The 21353-nt window shown below is 36.8% G+C and overlaps 1 protein-coding gene across 6 annotated transcripts in view, besides 2 other annotated features; it reads left to right on the plus strand.

The window, feature by feature from the left end:
* ATP11B (ATPase phospholipid transporting 11B (putative)) overlaps positions 1-9738 on the plus strand; it is a 128126-nt gene extending 118388 nt beyond the window's left edge. For 3 of the 6 annotated variants that reach the window (NM_014616.3, XM_011512597.3, XM_017006008.2), the window contains 2 exons: positions 1970-2103; positions 6132-9738. In NM_014616.3, the coding sequence (NP_055431.1) occupies positions 1970-2103; positions 6132-6213 (216 nt within the window). In that variant the 3' untranslated portion in view covers positions 6214-9738. Of the gene's footprint in view, positions 1-1969 lie in introns of all 6 variants that reach the window. The other 3 variants (XM_047447784.1, XM_011512593.3, XM_011512594.3) reach the window with 3 other exon arrangements.
* Positions 2151-2290: a silencer, noted in NCBI's record as "silent region_14933". NCBI's record gives its function as "represses an Ori minimal core promoter by ATAC-STARR-seq in GM12878 lymphoblastoid cells {active_cell/tissue: GM12878}" and the evidence as "EXISTENCE:reporter gene assay evidence [ECO:0000049][PMID:35858748]".
* Positions 13598-13657: an enhancer, noted in NCBI's record as "active region_20883". NCBI's record gives its function as "activates an Ori minimal core promoter by ATAC-STARR-seq in GM12878 lymphoblastoid cells {active_cell/tissue: GM12878}" and the evidence as "EXISTENCE:reporter gene assay evidence [ECO:0000049][PMID:35858748]".

Below are 21353 nucleotides of genomic sequence, written 5' to 3' on the forward strand. Positions count from 1 at the left end.
GCTGAACGCTGATGTAGGGGTCAGCATTCTGACCCTGATTGATGGCAGGCCCCGACACGTTGCCCACAGGCAGGGAACATTGGTTGGCTGGAGTGGAGACTGCACCAGAGCATTGGGAAGCAGAGCAGGAAAGGCAGCCTGGGGTCAGGCTGTAAAGGGCCTTCAAGGCTTCATGCGGTGTGGGGCTTTATCCTTTGAGCATGTAGGAGCCCTGGAGTCTGGGTTGCTACAAGGGGTAAATTTGAGATTGGGAAAACTGGAGTCCAGGGACCCAAAGAGAATACTGGAAAACTGATGAAATCCTGTTACCTAAACCAGCATTTCCTAAACTGTTCCTCTGAATATGAATGATCCTCCTGGTGTTGCTTAATATTTGCTGGTTGGTGGGTGGGGGTGTATGGTTTCTCCCACTAAGAAAATGAGTGGAGAATTATGATATCTCAGGCTTCCCCCATGGAGATGACCATGTATCCTGACTTCACAGTCCTCTACTTTAAAAGTCTGTTTAGAACTTTGTTAAATTAGTGTTTCCCAAATTTAATTGAACACTGACCCCCTTTTTTTTTTTCATGAAATGTCTGTAAATATCTTACAAAACACAGTTTAAGAAACTGTGCCCTAAACAATTCTAAACCAAGAGTATTGTAACGAAAGAACAAGTCAAGTTTGGCTCTTTCTCAGTGCTTAGCTGATCCTAGGACACTGTCATCAGGCAGTTGCCAGATAAGAACCATGTTGTTTCACACTGTGTGGTGTTGAATCTTCTGAGCATGGATCTTGCAGGACATCAGCAGTTGTTTACATTCAGAATGCCAGGTTTCTGTTCCATCACGTCCGTCTCTTCTGTTCATTGTGAGCATCTCCACAAACATCCTCTGTTGCCTGCACCCAGCACATGGTGATTCCCAACCTTCGTGGAAGTGCAGCCCTGTATTTATTCTCCTTCTCTATCCTCAAAAGATGTGTTACGTAGGATGTTATATATGTAAAAGAAGGTGAATTGAAATAAGGTGTTTTTTTTTTAAAACAACAGCCCTTGAAAAATTTCGGAGCATCTTTGACAAACAAAACCAGGGTTGGGATTCATCGAGCTACGTGGTCATACCATCTTTCCCCCTCATTTTTACTCAGTTAAAATTGTTAGTCGTGTGGAATAAAATTATCTTGCTGGGCTATTTATGCCTGAATCAACATAAATCTTGCATACTTTCAGAAAGTAATTCAGTTTCAAATCTTGATAGTACTACTTATTCACTTGTTTAATAAATTTTAATTTATTAAACTGTCAGCTAACTGTTACAAAGCAGGATGAGCTGATGATGGGATGATTGCCACTTAAAAGTTTTTAGCAATTTATGATAAATGATGCTTTTTTCAAAGATAAGTATGGAGTGGATCTATGTAGAGTGCTTAGAACCTGGCACATAGTAAAGCATACGTAAAGTGTTTGCTGCCATTGTTGTTGTTACTGAACATTGGGGTGAGGTCCTGCCTGATTGTTATTTCCCAGTCTTAAAGATAATTCATACTCCACTTATCTCAATTGTTGGACATTGTTCATTGAAATTGCAGGCTAGACATTTTTAATTGAAATTGCAGGAGCATTTCACCTAAAGAAAAACTCCATGCAGAATTGGAATTCATTACATTCCTGAGTGGTTGATGGAAATCATTTTGACCATAATAAATGATTAAAATGAAACATTAAAAGTAGATTTACATAATATCCAGCTTCTTAATTTATATAATTATTTTACTAGACCTCTAATTTAGGATACAAGGCTTTAAAATAATTTTGGATGGTTATACTCTAGTAAATTAAAGCCTTTCATATGTTTCCCATATTATAGAAAAACATGTAGGTTTATATATGTTACCTTTGATTTGAAAGTGCTTGTTGTAATGTTCTAATGCTTTTCAGAAGTCCATATCTTTAAACAACTGATGTTTTCTGCTTCACCTCCCGCAGCTTACTGAAACAAATGCAGGTATCAAGTGCTTGGACTCCATGTGCTGTTTCCCGGAAGGAGAAGCAGCGTGTGCATCTGTTGGAAGAATGCTGGAACGAGTTATAGGAAGATGTAGTCCAACCCACATCAGCAGGTGTGAAATCTCTCTAAGTAGCCTTTGCTGCAGATGAGTATCCTATCTGGAACAGGATGAACCTGCCGCTCTAGATACCTAATAAATCAGCAGCTGGTTTTACCAACTGAAGCAGGAAGTCTGCTATTTATTAGCACTCTTTGGTGGTAGATTTCACTTTGTGGCTTTGGGGTAAGGGCTTTTTCACTCACAAAGGAAGAGAAAGCACCTTTGAAGAGACTTCATCTAATGAACAAAAAATTTTGTTTCATAATCTTTCTAAAATGTGCTCAGTAGGAGTGTGTTTATGGTACTCTTTTATGGTTTGTATAACTTTCTTTTTTAAATTATACATATACTATTTCCTTTTTATTTTTTTAAAATTTTTTTGCTTTTTGTCTTTACAAAATAATCTCAACATAACAGTGAAGTCAAAGGCTTTCCTTTTCTTACTCTGTATGTATATTTTCCAGTTGGTTATTTGAGGCTTTGAGGTATTTATAAACACAAAAGGCTGTATTTCTGCTCCCCTACCTCTTCTTATGTCTGTAATGAAGTTTTGAAATGAGTCATGATTTTTAAGTTTCTTTTGCTTGGTATTTATTGCCTAATTAAAAGTGTATGAGTTAGAACAGGCTTTTTAAATTATGGAGTAAAAGAATCTTAGCATTTTTGTCCCCTCCTAAATCTGTTTCTTGAATGAGATTTATCACCATGCCTGCTGTTGTGCACCATAACGAAAAAAAACACCTTTTGGTAAACACCATTTAAAATTCATTTAAACTTGCAATGGATTTATTTATTCATACATTTCCCCAAGAGTTATATCACTATTTAGAGGATGTTAGGGGGTAGAAAGAGCTTTTTCCACACTTGGTGTTCTTTAGGTGAATGATACCATATTCTCAAAATCAGGGCAGCAGTACACGGTATGCATGGAGGTACAAATGGGCAGGGAGAGATGTTGGTTGCCATTGTCCCAAATGTGCTACATGAATATTAGCACTTTCTACATGTGCCAGGGCTTGGAAAAGGTTGGAAATTACCCCAGGAACAGGTTATAAAGAGTGAAGAAGGCACTACTCCTATCTACTGGAAAAAGGATTTTTATTATTTGGTTAGCTTTGTGTTTTAAAAAAATGATGAGTATGATATCATTCATCTGTTATAAAATTCAGGTAACTTTTACTGGTGAACTTGTTAGTTCTCACTTTAGCTTTAGCTTAGCCATGCCTTTATGATACAATTGAATTTATAAATAGCATTCTTATGTTAACATAATGTCTGTGGTTTCAATCCCCGTTTATTCTGACTTGATTATAACGTGATCTGAAATATTTCCATAATGCTGTGATACCATTTTGTAGTAATTTCATTCCACGTAGAAGGATGAGCACTTAAACTCTGGGACTTTGTTATGATTTACATAATTGTATTATAAAATGTGGCTCTGTCATGTACCTAGGCCAGCAAATTTCCCAAAGAGCTTGATTTATAATACTATTTTACCTAATAACATAGCTTCATTGCACAGAATCAAGATAGGAGTTAGACTAAGATACAATAGAACCTCTACAGAATTTTTTCAACTTCTCCTTCAATGGAAATTTCTCTTTAATGACAATATACGTTTTTGTTAATGATTTTTTTAAAACTAGAATTAATTTTAAATGAGCCCCAGATTTTTTCTGCTATATACATATATCCATTTTCTTGATATCGATTATGGTAATATGCCCCCATTATTCTTTACATAGCCATTTTGATGCAGCATTACCTCTTTTGAACCTGCCCCAGGAGTTATTGAATTTACTTTTACATGTTCTCTTGAAGGTAGCTATTATCATCTATACTTCTTTTCACTTAAAATTGCGCCATATTGTTTTTTTCTGAATTTTTTTATTCTCCTAATAAAATGTTTAACTTAGTAATTAATATCATATTAGACTATAAATGCCCTTCCAGGTTTCTCCAACATCACAGGTTATATTATTGGTTACTATTATTTTCTTACCCTTTTTCTCATGTGAATAATCTAGAAGGTCTTTTCAGACCTGTTCATTCTTTTCTAGGGGATAAAGTCATATAATAACACCAAGCTACCTGGTGCTTTTCAAGGGCTATGTGAAAATTGCCATAGATGCATCAATATTGTATTTAAACTTGCAAAGTCATTTTGATACATAGAGTTCTCTTTTTGTTTACATATAATTGTATTTGTGAAATGTGTTGGGCATTTCCATTGTGACTTTAGAGTAGCATCTATTCTATGTTTCTATTTCATGTCTAATTTAAGAGGTGGGGCAAGTCTGAGACTGCCATTCCAAGATGTAGAAGCCCTTAGCTGTGTGTTCCATTGACATAGTAAAGTCAAGAGTAATGGGCATCACTTGAGAAATGCCACCAGTGTTTTTATGTGACAGATTTCTTTGGTGATTACATTTGTACCATCCAGGCACAAAAATTTGACTTACATTTTATTAATTGATGTTGTCAATGAAGTATCCCATATTGCAAGCTCAGTTTCAAAGAGAGCATCATGGTGCTATATAAAGAATATGCCATGTTGCACCCTAAAGAGCTGGATTTTAGCAATAAAAGATTTTCTGTTCGTGTATTACTAACAGTTAAGCTACTGTATCCTCATCAAAACTATCTTCTAAATAGAAAGTAATATGTAGTTCAAGTGTTTAATGTTCTGTCAAAAATTATATTTAACATATGAATGCACATGTGTGCTTTGAAAAAAAATTTAAAATGAAGGAGACTTTACCTAATAAGATTATTCTGTGTAAGCAATGTGGAAAGAAGAAAAACTAATATAAAGTATTGGCAGTTTGGAATTGGACATCTGACTCCGGATAATTGGAGTACTGATAGCTGTTATAGTTAAAAGTTATAGTTAAAAGCATACTTGTCCCCTGTAAATACTTACTCTTTAAGAAATTTTCATCTTCTCATTTTATTCATTTATTCTGCAAATACTGGGTGCCCAATATATGTCAGACACAGTTCTAGATGCTAGGGAGACAGTAGTGAACAAGTCCTTCCCTAACCTAAGGTAGATACTGTTCCAGCTTTTCTAGAAACTAGTCGAATTAAAGTTGAGCTACATACAAACTTAGCATCTCTGGGAAAGAGAAAATATTTGACAAAGGTGAATTGGGGCCTTTTTTAACGCTCATCTCTTCCTGTAACATCTCTGTTTAGGGAAGGTGGGAACCCTGGAAAAAGTTACATAAAATGTATTTATTGTTAAATGTGTTTAGTCTCATAAGAAAAGCAGTCTTTCACTTGGTAATCCTAATACTGTCCTTGAACTAGGTTAGTCTATTTTAAGCATGGCAGGCTACTTTTGGTCTTGAGTTATTTTAGCTTAAATTAACTCAAGCTAATTTAAGTTTACAGCTGCACATAAAGTATTATGTAATGACTTGCTTTAGGGCCTTATCATTCAAACACCAGTTAACTTTTCCAGACCAGTAGAGGATCGTTTGTCCTTATTAAGTGAAAACGCTAGTGACCTACAGGTGTCTTTGATGCCTTTTGAATACATCATTCGCTACATTCAAGCTAATTATGCGGAAGTCTTTAGAATAGGATTTATAGCTGAAATGAAATGATCAATAATAGGAACATACTACTGTTTCATTCCAAAGCCTTTGGTAAGTGGGATTTGGGTTTGTTTTTGTAAACTGAACTTTTCAGTAAAACAATGTGCATAACTCTTAATAACATACTTCTTATTGAATTGTTAACACTTTAAAAGCAGCTCATGCTTTACTACATATAGAAACTGTTTTAATGCTAATGAATGTTTGAATTTTGGCTAATATTTTTATATGATGACTAGAGCATTATTTTTCCCAAGTTTTTATATAATATAAATAGAAAGTTTGGGCATTCGATACTAGTATGAAGAACCTCTCTTTAGTATTTAAATGAATCAATCAGTGATTGCATTTGGGTCCTAAGTTTTAGAGTAAATTTTTTTCTCAATTAAAACATAGGTCCTGGTGAGCCAAACTTTTCTCTTATTGTTACTTTAGATCATGGAGTGCATCGGATCCTTTCTATACCAACGACAGGAGCATCTTGACTCTCTCCACAATGGACTCATCTACTTGTTAAAGGGGCAGTAGTACTTTGTGGGAGCCAGTTCACCTCCTTTCCTAAAATTCAGTGTGATCACCCTGTTAATGGCCACACTAGCTCTGAAATTAATTTCCAAAATCTTTGTAGTAGTTCATACCCACTCAGAGTTATAATGGCAAACAAACAGAAAGCATTAGTACAAGCCCCTCCCAACACCCTTAATTTGAATCTGAACATGTTAAAATTTGAGAATAAAGAGACATTTTTCATCTCTTTGTCTGGTTTGTCCCTTGTGCTTATGGGACTCCTAATGGCATTTCAGTCTGTTGCTGAGGCCATTATATTTTAATATAAATGTAGAAAAAAGAGAGAAATCTTAGTAAAGAGTATTTTTTAGTATTAGCTTGATTATTGACTCTTCTATTTAAATCTGCTTCTGTAAATTATGCTGAAAGTTTGCCTTGAGAACTCTATTTTTTTATTAGAGTTATATTTAAAGCTTTTCATGGGAAAAGTTAATGTGAATACTGAGGAATTTTGGTCCCTCAGTGACCTGTGTTGTTAATTCATTAATGCATTCTGAGTTCACAGAGCAAATTAGGAGAATCATTTCCAACCATTATTTACTGCAGTATGGGGAGTAAATTTATACCAATTCCTCTAACTGTACTGTAACACAGCCTGTAAAGTTAGCCATATAAATGCAAGGGTATATCATATATACAAATCAGGAATCAGGTCCGTTCACCGAACTTCAAATTGATGTTTACTAATATTTTTGTGACAGAGTATAAAGACCCTATAGTGGGTAAATTAGATACTATTAGCATATTATTAATTTAATGTCTTTATCATTGGATCTTTTGCATGCTTTAATCTGGTTAACATATTTAAATTTGCTTTTTTTCTCTTTACCTGAAGGCTCTGTGTATAGTATTTCATGACATCGTTGTACAGTTTAACTATATCAATAAAAAGTTTGGACAGTATTTAAATATTGCAAATATGTTTAATTATACAAATCAGAATAGTATGGGTAATTAAATGAATACAAAAAGAAGAGCCTCTTTCTGCAGCCGACTTAGACATGCTCTTCCCTTTCTATAAGCTAGATTTTAGAATAAAGGGTTTCAGTTAATAATCTTATTTTCAGGTTATGTCATCTAACTTATAGCAAACTACCACAATACAGTGAGTTCTGCCAGTGTCCCAGTACAAGGCATATTTCAGGTGTGGCTGTGGAATGTAAAAATGCTCAACTTGTATCAGGTAATGTTAGCAATAAATTAAATGCTAAGAATGATTAATCGGGTACATGTTACTGTAATTAACTCATTGCACTTCAAAACCTAACTTCCATCCTGAATTTATCAAGTAGTTCAGTATTGTCATTTGTTTTTGTTTTATTGAAAAGTAATGTTGTCTTAAGATTTAGAAGTGATTATTAGCTTGAGAACTATTACCCAGCTCTAAGCAAATAATGATTGTATACATATTAAGATAATGGTTAAATGCGGTTTTACCAAGTTTTCCCTTGAAAATGTAATTCCTTTATGGAGATTTATTGTGCAGCCCTAAGCTTCCTTCCCATTTCATGAATATAAGGCTTCTAGAATTGGACTGGCAGGGGAAAGAATGGTAGAGACAGAAATTAAGACTTTATCCTTGTTTGCTTGTAAACTATTATTTTCTTGCTAATGTAACATTTGTCTGTTCCAGTGATGTAAGGATATTAAGTTATTAAGCTAAATATTAATTTTCAAAAATAGTCCTTCTTTAACTTAGATATTTCATAGCTGGATTTAGGAAGATCTGTTATTCTGGAAGTACTAAAAAGAATAATACAACGTACAATGTCTGCATTCACTAATTCATGTTCCAGAAGAGGAAATAATGAAGATATACTCAGTAGAGTACTAGGTGGGAGGATATGGAAATTTGCTCATAAAATCTCTTATAAAACGTGCATATAACAAAATGACACCCAGTAGGCCTGCATTACATTTACATGACCGTGTTTATTTGCCATCAAATAAACTGAGTACTGACACCAGACAAAGACTCCAAAGTCATAAAATAGCCTATGACCAACTGCAGCAAGACAGGAGGTCAGCTCGCCTATAATGGTGCTTAAAGTGTGATTGATGTAATTTTCTGTACTCACCATTTGAAGTTAGTTAAGGAGAACTTTATTTTTTTAAAAAAAGTAAATGGCAACCACTAGTGTGCTCATCCTGAACTGTTACTCCAAATCCACTCCGTTTTTAAAGCAAAATTATCTTGTGATTTTAAGAAAAGAGTTTTCTATTTATTTAAGAAAGTAACAATGCAGTCTGCAAGCTTTCAGTAGTTTTCTAGTGCTATATTCATCCTGTAAAACTCTTACTACGTAACCAGTAATCACAAGGAAAGTGTCCCCTTTGCATATTTCTTTAAAATTCTTTCTTTGGAAAGTATGATGTTGATAATTAACTTACCCTTATCTGCCAAAACCAGAGCAAAATGCTAAATACGTTATTGCTAATCAGTGGTCTCAAATCGATTTGCCTCCCTTTGCCTCGTCTGAGGGCTGTAAGCCTGAAGATAGTGGCAAGCACCAAGTCAGTTTCCAAAATTGCCCCTCAGCTGCTTTAAGTGACTCAGCACCCTGCCTCAGCTTCAGCAGGCGTAGGCTCACCCTGGGCGGAGCAAAGTATGGGCCAGGGAGAACTACAGCTACGAAGACCTGCTGTCGAGTTGAGAAAAGGGGAGAATTTATGGTCTGAATTTTCTAACTGTCCTCTTTCTTGGGTCTAAAGCTCATAATACACAAAGGCTTCCAGACCTGAGCCACACCCAGGCCCTATCCTGAACAGGAGACTAAACAGAGGCAAATCAACCCTAGGAAATACTTGCATTCTGCCCTACGGTTAGTACCAGGACTGAGGTCATTTCTACTGGAAAAGATTGTGAGATTGAACTTATCTGATCGCTTGAGACTCCTAATAGGCAGGAGTCAAGGCCACTAGAAAATTGACAGTTAAGAGCCAAAAGTTTTTAAAATATGCTACTCTGAAAAATCTCGTGAAGGCTGTAGGAAAAGGGAGAATCTTCCATGTTGGTGTTTTTCCTGTAAAGATCAGTTTGGGGTATGATATAAGCAGGTATTAATAAAAATAACACACCAAAGAGTTACGTAAAACATGTTTTATTAATTTTGGTCCCCACGTACAGACATTTTATTTCTATTTTGAAATGAGTTATCTATTTTCATAAAAGTAAAACACTATTAAAGTGCTGTTTTATGTGAAATAACTTGAATGTTGTTCCTATAAAAAATAGATCATAACTCATGATATGTTTGTAATCATGGTAATTTAGATTTTTATGAGGAATGAGTATCTGGAAATATTGTAGCAATACTTGGTTTAAAATTTTGGACCTGAGACACTGTGGCTGTCTAATGTAATCCTTTAAAAATTCTCTGCATTGTCAGTAAATGTAGTATATTATTGTACAGCTACTCATAATTTTTTAAAGTTTATGAAGTTATATTTATCAAATAAAAACTTTCCTATATAATTAAAAGTGTTCCTTTATTTAAGCATTTTAAGCCTGTCTCTGTTTATCACAACCTGCACTGCCAAACTTGTTTCAAGTTAAGTTTTACTGTATTTACCCTTCATTATAGCACAGGGATATCATTTATGCCTTTCACTGACTGCAGTTTTTTAAAATGTAGTTCTTACCCAGCTTTTATAGATCATCATCAGTACAACTCCTGGAAAAGGCTCTGATAGGAATGTGCCAGCTGTAGATACCAGCATACCTCAACTAGAAATTGCATCATTCATGAAAAGCCAGCCAAGAGCACTTGTGAATTTGGAAATGGCCTGGTTCATAGAAAATATGTGCTTTTTTAAAAATATAGGACTGATTGATTGATTGATAATAGAATGTATACGTCCATATAAAATATTCCAGCTTCCTGACAACCAGTTATTTGCACTGCTTCCTCGGTTGCAAGTTAGAACAGACATAATTGTCTAATCTACATCTGCTTAAAAAGTTAAGCTGTTGTCTTTGCCCAGTTTTTAGTATTTGCAAAGGATGACAATGCATGATTTATGTAATGTATTTTTGAGATGTAATAAGAATACGATCCTAGACAAATCAGTTTAGGCATCTGTTTTTATATTTAAAAAGGAGTGTTTGGACTATCTTTAGGGCGACTACTGTCTTTAACTTCTAATATACAAGTAGAACATGATGAATAATGAATAAATTATTTAGGACAAAAAAATTTTATTAGAAGCATCTCACTAGAAAATTAATTAGTGAATTCAAAAACAATTCAAGTTTTATATTGAAGAGCTAACTGACTCAAAGGAAAGGCTATTGTAAATGGAGATAAGTAAGTCACCACACCTCTCTATGAACAGCCAGAGAGCCCTGTGATAAATCAAATTTTTAAATACTAATTTAAGGGAAAATGGTTTGTATTCAGATGTAATTTGTACACAGTAAAATGTATCGATTTTAGGATTATAGTTACTCACTTTTGATAACTCTCTACACCCATGTAACCCTAACCCAATCCAGGTTAAGAACCCTTCCGTCATTCCTCAAGGGTCCCTTGTGCCTTTTGCAGTGAATTTATTCCCCTCTTGGTCCTGTCCCAGCAACCATTTTCTGATTTCTGTTGTCTTAGATGATTAGTTTTGCCTACTCTTGAATTTTATGTAAATGAAATACACAGTGTGTCACCTTTGTGTCTGGCGTTGTTGCTCAGCGTCTCTGTGGGACTCACTCATCTACGTTGTGCCAGGACCCATAGTTTTCTTTTTGCTACTCGGTAGTGTTTCATTGCATGAATGTACCACAATTTGTCCTTTCTCCTCTTTATGGACATTTGTTCTTTTACAGTTTGGGGCTGTTGTTAAATAAAGTTATAATGAACATTCTTTGTGGACTTATGTTTTCACTTGTTTTGTGAAATAACTAGGAGTAGAATTGCAGGGTCATAGGGTAGGTTTATGTTTGTTTATAAGAAACTATCAAAAAGTTTTCCACAGTGGCTGTAGGTACTATTTTACACTGCCACCAGCAACTATGAGAGTTCCAGTTGCCAACATTTGGTGGTGTCTTTTTAATTTTAGCCATTCTAATAAAGCATCTCACTATGGTTATCATTTCCATGATGATGTTTTTAATCCTTTTTTCGTATGCTCATTGGTGATTTATGATTTTTTCAAAATGTCTGTTCAAGTCTGGCCATTTTCTCATTAGGCTACTTTTCTTGTTACTGAATGGTAGGAATCCTTAAGGTAAGGATATAAGTCCTTTGTCTTATGTATGTATTGCTAGCATTTTTCCCCCAGTTTGTGGCTTGCCTATTTATTTTCTTAATTGTCACTCTGGGGAGCAGAAGTGTTGTATTTTGATGAAGTCCAATTTTTTTTCCTTTTATAGTTAGTTAGTTAGTTTTAGGTGATTTTCATGACTTCTAAAAACTCTGTCAACCCCAAGGTCATGAAGAAATTTTCCCATGTTTTCTTCTGAAAGCATTAGTCTTCTTAACTTTTATGTTTAGGTCAAAGATGATATCTCATATTCATTTGAGTATGATGCAAGGCAGCAAGGAATGAGGATCTTCCTTCCCTGCAACTCCCCCCCACCCCACAAGGTTATCTGGTTTAACTCCATTTCTTTCTTTAAAATATTCTCCTCCTCCATCGAATTGTATGGTGCCTCTGTTTAAAATGAATTGACTTTTCTACAAAAAAAAAAAAAAAAAAGGAAAACCTGATGTGGTTTTCATTTGTATTGCTCTGAATCTATACATCAATTTGGAAAGAACAGACATCTCAACAATATTGAGTCCTCCAATCCATGAACATGGTGTATCCATTTATTTAGGTTGTCTTTAATTTATCTCAGTGATGTTTGGTAGTCTTTAGGTATCTGGCAAATACTTTGTTAAAGTCCTAATTTTTTATGATTTTTTTATGCTATGGTAAGGGGAATCACTTTCAAATTTATTTTCCTATTAGCCTTACTAGAACACAGAAATAAAATATGAAATAAGGGGCCGGGCGCAAGGGCTCACGCCTCTAATCCCAGCGCTTTGGGAGGCCAAGGCAGGCAGATCACAAGGTCAAGAGATCGAGACCATCCTGGCCAACATGGTGAAACACCGTCTGTACTAAAAATACAAAAATGAGCTGGGCGTGTTGGTGCACGCCTGTAGTCCCAGCTACTTGGGAGGCTGAGGCAGGAGAATCACTTGAACCCAGGAAGCAGAGGTTGCAGTGAGCCAAGATCACACCATTGCACTCCAGCTTCGGCGACAGAGCGAGACTCCGTCTCACAGAAAAAAAAAAAACGAAAAAAAAAAATAAGGATATGATCCTGGACAAATCAATTTTAACTTTGTTAACCTACAACCCTTCTATATTCACTCATTTGTTCCAGTAGGTTTTTTACTCCTTTTGTATAGAATCCTTTGGATTTTCACATACACAGTCACGTCATCTGAGAACTAAAAGGTTAATTTTTTTCTTTCCAATCTTTATGCCTAAAATTACTTGTTACTGCCCCGCACACTGGCTAGTACAGTGTGCTTAATACTGGTACAGTGTTATATAGGCATGGTTAAAACCATGAATAGGTGTTGAATTTTGAAAAATGCTTTTTTTTCCATTTACTGAGAGGATCATGTGATTTAATTTTTTTAGTTTGATAATACAGTGAATTACCTTGGCTGATTTTGGTTTTTTGTTTAAGAGACAGAGTCACCCCCTGTTGCCTAGGCTGGAGTGCAGTGGCAGACTTATGGCTCCACTGCAGCCTGGAACTCCTGGGCTCAAGCAGTCCTCCCACTTCAGCCTCCCAAGTAGCTAGGATTACAGGCACTCACCACCACACCCAGCCGATTTTTAAATTTTTTGTAGAGACAAGAGTATCACTATGTTGCCCAGGCTGATCTCCAACTCCTGGGCTTAAGCAATCCTCCCACCTCAGCCCCCCAGAATGCTGGGACTACAAGCATGAGCCACCATACCCAGTCTACCTTGGTTGATTTTCAAATGGTAAACCAACTTTGCATCCCTAAAATAAATCCCACTTGGTTGTGATGTTTCTTACTACACTATGACCACCGCCCCTCACCCCCATTTATATCTACTTCCTCAGAAAATAGACCTGCCTTTAAAGTATATCCAGAATTCAAATGCATTAATATTTAGAGTGTTTGTCAACCTGGTCGTCATCCTGGTCTAAGTCACCATCATCTCAGGATAACTGCAGTAACTCTTTAACTGACATATTACTTCCCTATTGCTGCATAAAAAATTTCCCCAAAATTTCGCATCATAAAACAATAGACTTTATCCCAGTTTCTGTGGATCCAGGATATGGGTGCAGATTATCTGGGTACCAAAGCCTCAAGGTCTTTCACAAGGCTGCAGTCAAGCTGTCAGTCAGAGCTGCAGTATCACCTGAAGGCTCAACTGAGATTAAACCTGCAGCCAAGCTCATTAATGTGATTGTTTGTATTATTTAGTTCTTTATGGGTTGCTGTACTAAGGACTTTCAGTTTCTTACTGGCTGGTTGGCCAGAGACTGCTCTCAGTTCCTTCCCTCACGGACCTCTCGAAAAGGCAGCTTACAAAATGGCAGCTGGCTTGCAACCAAGTGAGCAAGAGAGGGCATGCAAGATGGAAGCTATTTATAACCTAATCTCAGAAGTGATGCCTCATCACTTTGCCATATTCTACTCATTAGAAGCAAGTCAGTAAGTCCAGACCATACGCAAGGGGAAGAGATTACACAAGAGTGTGAATCCCAGAAGGCAGGGACCATTGGGGGCATTTTAGAGGCTGCCTACCACAACTGATCCCCTACTTTCATCTTACCTCCACTCTACCCCCCGACACAACAGGATTTTTCTCAACACATCAGCTAAAGCAATTTTATTAAAACTTTAGTCAGGACTTGTTACCCCTTTACTTAAAACCCTCCAATGACTTCCCACCTCACTGTAAAAGCCACAGCACTAATAATAGCCTACAAGGCCATATACAATTTGCTTCCTGTTATCTCTGACCTCATATATTACTCTCCTTACCCCCTCCTCCCCAGCCTGCTAGCCTCCTTGATATTCCTTAAACACGCCAGACTCATTGCCAACTCAGAGCCCTTACAGTTTCTATTTTCTCTGCCTACAAAGCCTTCTCAGATATATGCATTTTTTTAGGTGTTTATTCAGATGCGTCAGTGAGGCCCTACCTGACCACCCTGTTTAAAACTGCATATTCTCCTTACCCCATCCTGCTTCATTTTCCCTCTGCAGCACTATACATGACACTGTATACTTGACTGATTTTGTTTATTACATCCCCAACACTAGAATGTAAGCTCCATGAGGGCAACTATTATTATTTGTTTTGTTGACTGCTGTATTCCCAGAATAATGCCTGGCACATTAAGGGCTTAAGAGACATTTATTTGAATAAGTTAGTGAATCACTTCTGAAAGCCATGGGGAGTTACTAGAGGATCTTAAGCCTTTTAGTTAAATCATCCTGACAACAGTGAGAAAAAGTGGTTGGAAGAGAAGCAGACAAAAGCCATAGAGAATATATAAAAAGCCACTGCAAACATCAAGGCAACGTGTGATGGGAATTCAAATGAAGGCGGTGGCACTAGGAATCAAGAACATTAGATTGACACATGAAATAGTGAGGCAAAATGTATGAGTGGTTCCAAAACTGATCTACAAATTCAACACAAACCCTATCAAAAAACCAGCTGGCTTCTCTTGCAAAAACTGACATGCAGATCTTATTATTTATATGGAAGTGCAAGAGACTCAGAGAGAAACCAAAACAATCTTGAACAAAGTTGGAAGACACACTTCTTGATTCTAAAATTTTACTATAAAGTTATAGTAATCAAGACTGTGGTTCTGACATAAGGAAGGACATAGACAATACAATTGAGGATCCAAAAATAAATCCACACATTTACAGGCAACTGATTTTTAGCAAGGGTGCCAAGACATTCAGTGGGGAGAGAACCATCTTGTCAACAAATGGTGCAGGGACAATTGGATATCCACAGGTAAAAGAATTAATTTGGACCCCTATCTCAGGCATTATACAGAAACTAACCTAAACAAATCAAATACCAAACAATAATCTGAAACTATAAAACTCTTAGACACATAAGTAAAAATCTTCTGACATTGGATTAGGCAATGGTGTGATACCTGAAGTACAAGCAACAAGAGAAAAAAATAGATAAAATTGAACTTAATAAAAATTAAACTTGGCCAGGCGCGGTGGCCCACGCCTGTAATCCCAGCACTTTGGGAGGCCAAGGTGGGCAGATCACGAGGTCAGGAGATTGAGAGCATCCTGGCTAACACGGTGAAACGCCGTCTCTACTGAAAATACAAAAAAAAAAAAAAAAATTAGCCGGGCATGGTGGTACTTGCCTGTAGTCCCAGCAACTCGGGGGGCTGAGGCAGGAGAATCACTTGAACCCGGGAGGCAGAGGTTGCAGTGAGCTGAGATCACACCACTGTACCCCAGCCTGGGCGACAGAGCAAGACTCTGTCTCAAAAAAAAAAAAAAAAAAAAAAAAAAAAATTCAACTTTTATGCCATAAGATGCTATCAAGAAAGTGAAAAGACAATCCACAGAATAGTAGAAAATACTTGTAAGTCACATACCTGATAAAAGTCTAATATCTAGAGTATATAAAGAACTCTTACAAGTCAACAATAAAAGAACCAAATTAGGCTGGGCATGGTGGCTCACGCTTGTAATCCTAGCAATTTGGGAGGCTGAGGTGGGAGGATCGCTTGAGCCCAGGAGTTCGAGATCAGCCTGGGCAACATAGTGAGACCTTGTCTATACAAAAAAATGAGGCAAGAGGACTGCTTGAGCCTAGGAGGTCGAGGCTGCAATGAGCTGTATCATGCCACTGCACACTCGCCTGGGTGATGGGAGTGAGACTCTGTCTCAAAAAAAAAAAAAAAAAAATTAAAAAATGGGCATAAAACCTCCCAACAAAGAAAAGCCCAGGAACAAGATGACTTCACTGGAGAATTCTACCAAACATTTAAAAATTAACACCAATCATCTTCAAACTCTTTCAAAAAAAATTGAAGAACACTTCCAAACTCATTCTGTGAAGACAGCATTACTCTAATACCAAAGCCAAAGAGGCTGTAATATAAGACTATAGGGCAATATCCCTGATGAATATTGGTGCAAACATTCTCAACAAAATAGTAGCAAATTATACATCATGAACAAGTGAAAGTTCTACCTGGAATGAAAGAATGGTTCAACACAGAAAACTCAATCATCAAAATACACCACATTAACAGAATGAAAGACAAAAACCACACGATCACCTCAATTGATGCAGGAAAAAACATTTGACACGATTCAACACCCTTTCATGATTAAAACACTCAACAAGCTAAGAATAGAGGGAAAGTACATCAATATAATAAAGGTCCTATATGACATACCCATCACTATACACAATGGTCAAAGAGAAAGTTTTTCCTCTAAGATCAGAAACAAGACAAGGATGCCAGTTTTCACCACTTCTATTCAACACAGTACTGAAGTCCTAAGCAGAGGAATTAGGCAAGAAAACTAGATAAAGTCATTCAAATTGGAAAGGAAGAAATAAAATTATCTCTGCTCGCAGATGACATGATCTTATGTTAGAAAACCCTAAATAGTACACACACACACAGACTGTTTGAACTGTTAAGTTCAACAAAGTTACAGGATACAAAACCCACACACCAAAATTGTTTGCATTTGTATACACTGACAATGAACAATCCAAAAAGAAAATTAAGAAAGCAATTTACAATAGCCTCAATAAACAACAACAAAAACCCTAAGAATAAACCTAACCAAGGAAAAGAAATTGCTAAAAGGAATTTAAGAAGACAAATGCATGGAAAGACATTCTGTGTTCAAGACTGGAAGACTTTGTATTGTTAAGATGTCAATACTATCCAAAGCAATCTACAGATTCAATGCAATCTCTATGAAAATGCCAATAGCATTTATTGTAAGAATGGAAAAATCCATCCTAAAATTCATATGGAATATCAAGGGATCCTGAATAGCCAAAACAATTAAGAAAAAAAAAAGGGAACAGGCTGGGCACGGTGGCTCACACCTGTAATCCCAGCACTTTGGAAGGCCGAGGTTGGTGGATCACCTGAGGTCGGGAGTACTAGACCAGCCTGGGCAACGTGGTGAAACCCTGTCTCTACTAAAAATACAAAAAAAAAATTAGCCAGGTGTGGTGGCACACACCTGTAATCCCAGCTACTCAGGAGGCTGAGGCAGGAGAATTGCTTGAACCCGGGAGGTGGAGGTTGCAGTGAGCTGAGATCACACCACTGCATTCCAGCCTGGAAAACAGAGCAAGACTCTGTCTCAAAAAAAAAAAAAAAAGAAAAAGAAAACAAAACAAAACATAAGAGGAAAGCTTTATGACACTGGACTTGGCAGTAATTTATTGGATATGACACCAAAAGCACAGGCAACAAAAGCAAAGATAGACAAATGGGTCTATATTAAACTTAAAAACTTTTGTGCATCAATGAACACAATCAACAGATTGAAAGGCAATCTATGGAATAGGAAAATGTATTTATAAATCATATACAAGGGGTTAATATCCAGAATACATAAAGAATGCCTACAACTCAACAACAAAAAAAATATCAAATAACCTGAATATTTTAAGGGGCAAAGGACTTGACATTTCTCCAAAAATGATATGCAAATGGCCAACAAGTATATGAAAAAGCGCTCAACATCACTAATAATCAGAGAAATGCAAATCAAAGTTACAATGAGATGTCACCTCATACCCATTAGGATGGCTACTGTCAAAACAAGCAAACAAACAAGCAAACAAAAACAGAAAATAACAAATGTTTGAAAGGATGTGGAGAAGCTGAATCCCTTGTGCACTATTGGCAGGACTAAAATGGTGAAGCCACTGTGAAAAACAGTATGGCAGTTCCTTAACAAATGAAAAACAGAAATACCATATGATCCAACAATCCCACTTCTGGATATATACCAGAAGAATTAAAAACAGAGTATCAAAGCGATATTTGCACATTCATGTTCATGGAAGCACTATTCATAATAGGCAAGAGATGAAAGCAACTCAATGTCCATCAAAGGATAAATGGATACACACAATGTGGTATATACCTACAATGGAATATTATTCAATCATAAAAGTGAAGGGAATCCTATCACATGCATCAACATGAATGAATTTTGAGGACATTATGCTAAGTGAAGTCAGCCAATCACAAAAAGTACTATATGATTCTACTTATGTGAGGCATCGAAAGTAGTCAAATTTATAGAAAAATAATGCAGATTTGTGGTTACCTGGAGCCAAGGGGAGGGAAAAATGAGGAATTGTTTAATGGGAACAGAGTTTCAGTTTTGGAGGATGAAATAGTTCTGGATATCTGTTGTACAACAATGTGCAAATAACACTACTGACTGTAACTTAAAAATGGTTAATTAAGATGGTAAATGTTATGCTTTTTACCACAATCAAAAAAATATTTAGGCTGGGTGCGGTGGCTCATACCTGTAATCCCAGCACTTTGGGAGGCCAAGGCAGGTGGATCGCCTGAGGTCGGGAGTTTCAGATCAACCTGACCAACATGGAGAAACCCTGTCTCTACTAAAAATACGAAAAATTAGCTGGGCTTGGTGGTGCGTGCCTGTAATCCCAGCTACTCAGGAGGCTGAGGCAGGAGAATTGCTTGAACCCGGAAGGCGGAGGTTGCAGTGAGCCGAGATCGCACCATTTCACTCCAACCTGGGCAACAAGAGCAAACCTCTGTCTCAAAAAAAAAAAAAAAAAAAAAAAATTAATGGGCAAAGATTTGAATAGGACATTTCTCCAGAGAAGATATACAAATGCCAATAAGGACATGAAAAGATGCTCTGCCGGGCGCAGTGGTTCACGCCTGTAATTCCAACACTTTGGGAGGCCGAGGTGGGTGGATCACGAGGTCAGGAGACAGAGACCATCCTGGCTAACAGGGTGAAACCCCAACTCTACTAAATATATAAAAAATTAGCTGGGCGTGGTGGCACAGGCCTGTAGTCCCAGCTACTTGGGAAGCAGAGGCAGGAGAATCACTTGAACCCGGGGGGCAGAGGTTGCAGTGAGCTGAGAGCGCACCACCGTGCTCCAGCCTGGGCAACAGAGCAAGACTCAAAGAAAAAAGAGAAAAGAAAAGAAAAGAGAAGAGAAAAGAAAAGAGAAAAGAAAAGAAAAGAGTAAAAAAAAAGAGAAAAAGCTTCTCAACATTTGGGAAATGCTTATCAAAACCACAATGAGTTATCACTTCATACCCACTAAGATTGCTTTAATCAAAAAGATAGACAATAACAAGTGTTGCTGAGGATGTGGAGAAATTGGAACCCTCATACTCTACAGGTAGGAATGTAAACTGGTACAACTGCTTTGGAAAATAGTTTCGCCGTTCCTCATTTGAAAGTTAAACACAGAATTACGATACGACTCAGCACTTCCAATCCTAGGCATATACCTAAAAGAAGTGAAAACAGATACTCAAGCAAATACTTGTACATGAATGTGCATAGCACCATTACTCAATATAACAGTAAAAAAAATGCAAATCTGGCCAGGCGTGGTGCTCATGCCTGTAATCCCAGCACTTCGGGAGGCCGATGGGTGGATCATCTGAGGTCAGAAGTTTGAGACCAGCCTTGCCAACATGGTAAAACCCTGTCTCTATTAAAAAAAAAAAATAGCCTGGCATAGTGGTGGGTGCCTGTAATCTCAGCTACTCAGGGGGCTGAGGCAGGGGAATCACTTGAACCCAGGAGGTGGAGGTTGCAGTGAGCAGAGATGGTGCCACTGCACTCCAGCCTGGGCAACAAGAGCGAAACTCTGTCAAAAAAAAAAAAAGGAAACCCAAGTGTCCATCAACTGATGAATATATAAACAAAATATATATCCATACAATAACATTATTCAGTCATATAAAAGAATACTGATATATCCTACAATACCCGTAAACCTTGAAAACATCGTGCTAAGTGAAAGAAGCCAATTACAAGAGGCCACATATTGAATGATTCCATTTATGTGAAATATCTAAGATAGGCAAATCTATAGAGAAAGTATTTTAGTGGTTGTCAGGGACTAGAAGGAGGTGATAATGAGGAGTGACAGCTAATGGGTACAGAGTTTCTTTTTGGGGTGATAAAAATGTTCTGGAATTAGATAGTACTGACCATTGTACAATCTTGTGAAAATAGTAAAAGCCATTGAATTGTACACTATAAAGGGGTGAATTTTATGTGAATTATACCTCAATTAAAAATATTAGCAAACCCAATTCAGCAGCATATAAAAAGGATTATATACCATGATCAAGTGCTATTTGCCCCAGGAATGCAGGGTTGGTTTAACATCCAAAAATCAAAGTGATATAACATATTAATAAAGAACAAAAACCACATGATTATCTCATACACAAATAGCATGTGATAAAAAAATAGCATGTGACAAAAATTCAACACCCATTCATGATAAAAATCCTCAACAAAGGCTTAAAAGAGAATGTACAGCTAATATCATACTTAATAATGGAAAAACTTAATGTTTTCCCCCTAACACTGGAAAAAAGGCAAAAGTGACATCTTCACCACTTCTATTCAACATTGTACTAGCTAATGCAATAAGACAATAAAAAATAATTAAAGGCACATTGATTACAAATGAAGAATTCAGCTGTCTATTCACAGATTATATAATCTTGTACATAGTAAATCTTAAGAAATCAAACAACTATTAGAACTAATAAAAGTGTGTAGCACAGTTCCAGGATCCAAGATCAATATATGAAAATTTACTTTAGTTATGCACACTAGAAACAAAACAAAACATAAAACTGAAAAAACAAGTTTGCAACGCATCAAAAAGAATACTTAAGGCCAGGCGCGGTGGCTCACACTTATAATCTCAGCACTTTGGGAGGCCGAGGCGGGCGGATCATGAGGTCAGAAGATCGAGACCATCCTGGCCAACATGGTGAAACCCCATCTCTACTAAAAATACAAAAATTAGCTGGGCATGGTG

Source organism: Homo sapiens, chromosome 3 (genome assembly GCF_000001405.40).
Source record: "Homo sapiens chromosome 3, GRCh38.p14 Primary Assembly".
NCBI lineage: Eukaryota > Metazoa > Chordata > Mammalia > Primates > Hominidae > Homo > Homo sapiens.